The sequence below is a fragment of the Homo sapiens genome, chromosome 10 (assembly GCF_000001405.40).
Source record: "Homo sapiens chromosome 10, GRCh38.p14 Primary Assembly".
NCBI classification, from domain to species: Eukaryota; Metazoa; Chordata; class Mammalia; order Primates; family Hominidae; genus Homo; species Homo sapiens.
Genome location: NC_000010.11, coordinates 62,297,216 through 62,305,620, shown reverse-complemented (window position 1 = coordinate 62,305,620; position 8,405 = coordinate 62,297,216). Strand labels below are relative to the sequence as shown.

Here is an 8,405-nt window from a genome sequence, read left to right as displayed (position 1 = left end):
TCCAACCAATATTTATTGAACACCATGCCAGTCTCCACACCAGGTGCAGTATTGAGCATGATGGTCATGGTCATCGATGTGATTGGGGTTATAACTTGATAGGTAATAATTTTCAACCAATAATCCATTTGTTTCCTTTCTGTAAGTAGCTTCAGCTTCTGTCCCCATCTTATTCCTAACAGGAACTATCAACAGAGAAAACATCAAAAGTCATATGATTTAGTCTCTTGCAGAGCACAGGAGTTAAGTTGTGATAGAGGAATAGGAAGGAACTAGGGAACAATAACAATCCAGAAGCAGGAACAATTAGGTACCAAATAAGTGGAGTAGTACTGTTTCTATAAGAGCACCAGTAACATAGACTTTTGAAATTGCTACAAAAAAGCCAAAATGATTTTTAAAGAAGTTTACTCACTTCTTCATGTTATTTTATTTTGTTTAAGAATATTGCTTTAATTATTCCATGAATTTTTTTCAAGCACTACAGTTTTCAAGAAGCATTTTATATAACATTCTATTTAAAGATCAAACTAAACACAAGTAGGAATGTGAGAAAGGTTTTGAAAAATAAGCCACTTGAGAGAGTATATTGACGTGGGTAATTTCTGAGGTTCTTTAGGTATAGAGATAATTGATCAAAATAGGTCATTAATTCAGTTACAAAAATTCAGTCCCTTCAGACAAATCACTTGTAGAACTTGTGAACCAAAGGACTCTAATGATTGAATGAACACAGTGGAGTCTTTATTTTTAAAGGTGCAAGAGGGATATTTTAAACTTTCTATTTTCACTTTAATTTAAATATATAAAGGCTCTGCTTCAACTCTTGAGAAATTCTAGCTGTAGGAACAACCTTTCCAAATCATTTTCTTCTTTAAAAAATTCTAGTTTTGGCAAAAGCATCTTCAGTTTATCCACAAACCATTTACTTTTCATAATCCATAATTTAAACCAGAAAGTGCTTTTCTTTTTTAATAGAGAAAGCTAATTTATCTGACATTGTCATCATGGAATAGTGTGTTGCAAACAAGCTAGAATTCTAGAAAGTGCGATTTTTTTTTTTTTTTTTTTTTTTTTTTTTTTTTTTTTTTTTTTTTTTGTGATGGAGTCTTGCTCTGTCTCCCAGGCTGGAGTGCAGTGGCGCGATCTCAGGTCACTGCAAGCTCCGCCTCTGGGGTTCACCCATTCTCCTGCCTCAGCCTTCCGAGTAGCTGGGACTACAGGCACCTGTCACCACGCCCGGCTAATTTTTTGTATTTTTAGTAGAGACGGGGTTTCACCATGTTAGCCAGGATGGTCTCGGTCTCCGGACCACATGATCCGCCCACATCGGCCTCCCAAAGGGCTGGGATTACAGGCGTGAGCCACTGCGCCCAGCCAATCATTTTTATTATAGATGAATTATTTGTTTTTACATCTATAAAATACAAGCAAAAATATGTCACACAAATGTATACTGATGATTATTTAATCTTTGGTGATTCACATAGCATAGCTGCATCACCTTGTAAACATTTATTCTCATTGTCTGCAATAATAGATACAAATGATGACAAATATTGGGCTGGATCTCTAATAATGCACTGACAAAACTTTGAGGAAGCTTTTAAAATCAATCTTTTAAATGAGATTTTACTTTCGTTTGTCCAAAACACATCTTAAAAACAACAACACACACACACATAGTTACATATACAGTCTCTTACTTTTGACGGTTTGGCTTACAATTTTTTGACTTTACAGTGGGTTTGTTAGTACACAACCTCACCCTAAGTACTTATTTATCTCTCCAAATCAGAGCTGAATTCTTTGTGACTATGGCCTGAAGCTTGACTTCTTGAAGCTCTGTATGACAAGCTACTAACACAGGAGACCAACTGAAAGACAGCACTCAATAAATGTTTATCAAGAAAACATATAATAGACAGTGTTTCATAGCAGTTTACTCATATTGATTAGTTTTGCTTTGTTTTTCACAACAACCTTATGAATGAGGAAAGTCAGCCAAAAAATTGAGGCTTAGAATATGTGTCACTTCTACAGCCATGGTATTATGTGGAGGAACCAGAACTCAGCTCTTCTGACTGAATCCTGTCTTCTTTTCACTCCTCGACCCTATTCCTTTCACAGAAGGAGAAAAAAAAGAAAAAAAAAGGCTTTGAGCAGTTTTGTTGTGTGGTTACTCTGGTGAATTAAACATGTGTTAGAGTGTGTTAGTTCATTCTTACATTCATTTATTCTCCAGCACTGTGCCTTTTTCATTTGCTTCACAATATTTATTACACTTTGCAATTTCATACCTATGTGCATATTTATTTGTTGTCTGTTTCTCCTACTAGACTGTAAGTCCACAGGGGTAGGGAGCAGGTTGGTTTAACTGACAGTGTGTGTTACCCAGAGCCCAGCCCAGTGCCCTACACATAGTGGATATAGGGAAGTTGAAATTTTTCCCTCTGAAGGTTCAAGTCAAAATCTACTGAAGCGAATTGATAATAGATCAACAGGAGAAAAGACATACAAATTTATTAATGCACATATGGACACAGGAATATTTCAAATATGAGACTCAAAGAAGAGCCAGATGATTGAAGTTTTTATACCAATACAGGAAGTAATACAAGCTGGTAGCAGGTTATGGGAGGCAGAGGGGAGAAAAGGCGTGGTGAGCAAAAGCTGTCATGGTATGCAGATGAAACCTCACAGGTAGCAGCCATCAGAAAGAATAGATGGTAGTCTGTGATAGCAGTTTCTCTGTTGGAACTTTTAAAAGTGTCAGACACTTAGTCTTCTTTTTCTGCGATTTAAACTTTCCTAGATCTGGATAAGAAAACCCCGCAGAAAGCCTCTGTCTCTGCTGTTTACTTCACTAATATAGATTTTCTCTACAGATGCAAACCTGCCTTACAAAGGACTGTTTTTAGAGCTGTTTCTTTGTGTGCAACTCATCTGAATATCCATCTCAAAATGTGCAAAATAACTATATTTTGGAGTAGCATATTTTGGTTTCCTTCCTGGGCATTTGTTAAATATTTTTTGAGTATTTGTTGAATGTTACAGAAATCATATCCATTCCATCCTTCATCTCTAAGCTGCAATAGTATTAGGGAGCACATTTCTCCTCAGGAGGAGGGGGAACTGAGTAAAGGGCACAGCCAGCACCAGAACCAAGTCCCTAGGGTTCTACCCTGTATACTAACCATATTCTCAGAGCCAAGTCACTGACATTCAGTCTCAAATATTCACTTTTTACCTCATTAAGATGTTGAATATGACATTTCCTTCCACAATTGACTTCCTAAATAGGAAAAATAAAGTTTAGAATTCTTATTAATTCATAGATGCTTCCTTTAATTGTCTTAAACTTTTTATTTAATTTTGAAAGTAAAACGTACAGTGATACAAAACTCATACAAATAATATATAAAATATAACTTTTCCCCAAACCTGGGCCCATTTCCAAAGCAATTCTCTTTTCAGTTTGTTTTGTTTTGTTTTGTTTTGTTTTTGAGATGGAGTCTCGCTCTGTCGCCCAGGCTGGAGTGCAGTGGTGCTGTCTTGGCTCACTGCAAGCTCTGCCTCCTGGGTTCACACCATTCTCCTGCCTCAGCCTCCTGAGTAGCTGGGACTACAGGCACCCGCCACCTTGCCCGGCTAATTTTTTGTATTTATAGTAGAGACGGGGTTTCACCGTGTTAGCCAGCATGGTCTCGATCTCCTGACCTCGTGATCCACCCGCCTTGGCCTCCCTAAGAGCTGGCATTACAGGCGTGAGCCACCGTGCCCGGCCTCTTTTCAGTTTTTGTACATATTTTCAGAAACATTTTATTTATTTACTTCCATGTGTATATGGGGAGGAGGTGTGTGGTGTGTGTGTGTGTGTGTGTGTTTTCAAGGTAAGTGCTTTTAAAGTGTAATGTAAGTATGTATCTTTTAAACATCAAATTTTAGTATATAGCTACAAAATATGGCAGAAATCTAAGAGGTTGTTACTAGATACCATTCCCAAGCTTTTCTCTCAATTACTTTAGTAAGATAAATCTAAGCAACCTTCACAAACAAAATAAAAACTATTATCTTAAGATAAAAAACCCTGAAGCATTACTTTAAAAGTTTTTATTTTCCTTACTTGCAGTTACCTTCTGTATTAGTCCATTCTCATGCTGTTAATAGAGACATTCCTGAGACTGGGTAATTAAGAGGTTTAATTGACTCACAGTTCAGCATGGCTGGGGAGGTGTCAGGAAACTTACAATCATGGCAGAAGGGGAAGCAAACATGTCCTTCTTCACATGGCAGGAGGAAGGAGAAGTGCTGAGCTAAAGGTGGGAAAGCCCCTTATAAAACCATCAGATCTTGTGAGAACTCACTCACTGTCATGAGAATAGCAGCATGGGGGTAGCCACCCCCATGATTCAACCACCTCCCACCGGGTCCCTCCCACAACATGTGGGGATTATGGGAACCACAATAAAAGATGAAATTTGTGTGGGACACAGTCAAACAATATCACCTTCCCTTCATTTCAGTCCTTTCCACTCACTTGAATAAAGTATTCTCCAAAATACCTGCAAGTGAAAAACTACATGATGTAGTGGAAAGAAGAGTGAAGTTAAAGTCCAATTTGGGCTGATCCTAAAACAGGATTGAGAAGTTATTGTAACACTCTCTTGTGAAAGTCACTGAACTTCTCTCCACTTTCATATTCTTGTCTATAAAGTGAGAATAAGAATTTCTTCTCTACATACCTTATGAGATATTGTGGAAATCAAATCAGACTATACAGTTTTTGTGCTTGGAATATAGAACATGTATTCAAAGAATTTTCAAGACCAGCTTATGACCTCTTTAGTTCCAGCATTCATATCAAGTTCATGCTGGTGTCCTTTACAAGGTGACATTTGGGAAGGGATGCATGAAAAATGTCTTAGAGTTCACATACTATTTTGGTAAAGTGTGTTGCCTTAAGCATTTACAAAGACCAAGTGCAACCTGCCAATTTTACTGAGGATCATCGATTCTTGTATAGCTCTCCCTAAGATTTTTGAGAAATGAATAAATTTCTAAACAATTCCTAAAAAAGAAAATGTTTACATGAAGAAAACCAATAATTGTACAGTAACACCTTTAAGTAGGGTGATGTTATAACTTATTATCCAAACCAAGACATTCTTGATGGTGAAAGAAGATATACTACAGGACAGCAAGTGTAAACCAGGACTGTCCTGAGAAAACCTTAACATAGGGTCACCCAACCTGAAATGCTACCCTCCCTCTAGTAGAGTGAGTCTAGTTCATAACCACCATTGAAGGACCTGATTTGCTGACCTGTCCAGCTGCTCCTTCCTTAAGATTTAGAGCTTAGTCTGTGCAAGCTTTTCAGTGCTCCCTGAGGATATGAGAAGAATTAGGAAACGATTATGAGATTTTTATAAAACTAAACTGATTCCATTTAAATATTTGTATCTTTTATTCTGAGAATATGTCTCTTCCACTTTTGGTACTTAAATATAATTTCAAGTGTGCATAGTCACTTTTTTTTATTTTTATTTTTCAACGTCAGTTCCAGTTTAGAATGTATTCAACTACAAGGAACAACAACCTGCTAAAATAGGTCTAATAAAAAGTTTGGAAGTAGAAGATCAAGGGCTGCTATAAGTGTTCAGTGATGTTATCAAAGACCCAGGCTCCATCTATATGTCTAGTCTACCATCCACAGCACGATGCCTTTCTCCCTCTTGGTAGCAAGACAGCTGCTACAAGTCCAAGCATCACATCAAAGCTCCAGACAGAAAGAAGCAGGGAAAGGCAAGTGCCTTCTATTCATAATGTTTAGTTTAGTTTAGTTTAGTTTTAATTTGACAACAGAAGACTTCCACAGTAAATGGACAGAACAGGGTCAGATGACAATCTTTAGACCAATCACTGACCAGGGGACATCATGACGGCCAAAGAGCTCTTTTTAAAACAAATTGCAAATCATGTCTTCAAATCCTCCAGCAGTTTCCCATTGTAGGTAGGGTAAAAGCCAAAGTGTAGTGGGCCTACACAATCTGACCTCCTCCTACTCATCTTCTGTGTTCCCTGTCTGATTGGGTCTCTTTCTGTTTTCCCCCTCTCTGTTCCAAACCTCCTGGCTTCTTTGCTGGTCTTTGAACACACCCAGGCTGACTTTTCCTCAAGGCCTTCCAGCCTCCAGATACTGGCATGACTCACTCCCTTCTCCTACGGGTCCCCTCTAACCATCCTATGTAAAAGAACCACCATCCCTGACCTCTCAATACATCATTTCCTAGCTCACCTTGCTTAATTGTTCTCCCTAGCCCACCTTCTGACATAGTCTCTTGGCTTATGTACTTAGTTATCGTTCATCTCCTCTCACTAAAATATAAGCTCCTTGAGGGCAAGAACTTTATCTGTTTCATTCAGAGCTGTATCCTTAATGATTACAATTATGCCTGATTCATAGTAAGTACTCAATTAACAATTGTTGAATAAATGAATGAATTACCGCACTAGTCTAAAGTCTCATGATTCACCCTTAGGGTTGAAGAAGAGGCCAATCTTTCCTATGGTCAGGGATCTGTCCTGTCTAACTGAACAAGTCTGACTATTAGCAAGGAAGAGAAGGAGGGAATGGCTACTGACTAGGTAGCTTGTAGTGGCTGCCACAACATTCTTACTTGGGAAGTTGAAACAGTAGAAACATTCTGTTGGTTCCACCCCATTTTTAAAACAACTAAAACCAAAATTATAGTATCTAGAAAACTTCCTGGTAACCAACATTATTGCCACTCTATCTTTTCACCTTTGCCCTTCAACAGGACTAGTGACCTTAGTCCTCTCCCCTTCTGCACTGGATGGTCCTTCCAGGTACATGACACTTCTTAGCTGTCAGCCTTCTCTGCGTTGACTCCCTGAAAGCTTCCACTTCCCAGAGCTACCCTGTGGGCAGTTCCTTTTCCACACCCCAATTCCCACCAGATGTGGAAGATGGAACCCAAAAAATAAGGGGCTCTCCTGTATGTCTTGATCATAAATTCCTAAGAAGCAAACCATTAATAATGGCTTATAGCATGGACTTGAAACAAAATATATTAGAAGGCACATGCAAGAAAACGTTTAGTAACAAAATAATTTCAAAATTATTTAAGTAGAATTCCTAGAAGATAAATTCTCATTCTCTTTATTTACTGATTAGAATCAAGATATCAAGATTTTAGTCCTTGGTCAGCAACTGCCGCTGGAAATGTAATTAGATTCGAAATAACACATTCTAAATTTATCTTTTAACTCTCACAAATTGTATTCTGCCTCTAAACTTTATCCCTGAGCCTCCACTCCTTCTCCCTGGGTTGTTCCAAACTTTCATTTACCTTTATGATTAACCTCAAAAACTTCTCTTTTTAAAGCAAAATGGTGATCTAATGCCAAGAAACTGGGAGCATGGTTCCTGATTCTGTGTTGCATAATTCGAAGAGTGGATGTACCCACAATGTGGAGAACAGTCAGCGGGGTTGTGGGTGGGAAACAAGAGAAAGGAGGACAGATTCCCCTGTCCCCAGCATGCACGGAACATCTGTTCGTTTATATTAAATGGAAAGTCAGGCTCACCACAGCATGGCAACCCAACTTCTGAGGTATAATTGCGTAGTTAATATTCAAAAGAAATAGTATGCTCTGTAAAAACCAACAATTTTCTCTTGGCAAGTGGGACTTTACTTTTGAAATTTTATGTAAGATTAAATAACCACTTATCATCATTTCAGCACTGAATTTCAAAACAGACCTAAAGGTGTTTTGTACTCATTCGGTATTAATAATTAACAGGGAGATGGCCTTCTCATCCCCCGTTCCCTGCTTGGTGCATGTATGCATGGACATGTGTGGTGGACATACATTCATTAAACTAAGAATTGAGTGCCTATGAGTGGGCACTCTAGGTGGAGATGATGGTGTTCAAGATCCATGGGGCCCCTGCTTTCCGAGAGTTTACATTGTGGTGGGAAGTGACAGTAAATAACCATCATACAGGCAGAAAAGTGTCAGATATAGATGAATGACAGGTTCTACAATAAAGGGATATATGTACACTCCCTTGCATGCACATACTCCCCAGCCCCTAACACATGCTATGTTTAGATGTTCAGATAATATGTCTAGGGTTTGATAACACTTTTTCCCCACTTTAATGCATGTTCTTTCTTGAAATTTGGAGGAAAAAAAAAAACCTATAATGAAAAAAAAAAAATCATCACCACTAATCCCACCATACAGATATACTGGATGCCGCCCATGTGCCCCTGCAAATCCACTCTCCTGCTTTCTTCACCCTGTGTTGTCCCCTCGGAGCCTGATCTGTAGGGGCTGCATCAACCAGCTTCCTTGCCTTGTGCCTTCCAGTTGGG

At 38.5% G+C, this 8,405-nt stretch overlaps 1 long non-coding RNA gene across 1 annotated transcript in view; it reads right to left on the bottom strand.

The window, feature by feature from the left end:
- Positions 1–1,553: 1,553 nt before the first annotated feature.
- LINC02621 (long intergenic non-protein coding RNA 2621) overlaps positions 1,554–8,405 on the bottom strand; it is a 44,902-nt gene continuing 38,050 nt past the window's right edge. The window contains exons 3-4 of the long non-coding RNA NR_186389.1: positions 3,251–3,295; positions 1,554–2,121 (exon numbers count right to left, since the gene is read on the bottom strand). This is a non-coding gene — a long non-coding RNA (long intergenic non-protein coding RNA 2621). The remainder of the gene's footprint in view (positions 2,122–3,250; positions 3,296–8,405) is intronic.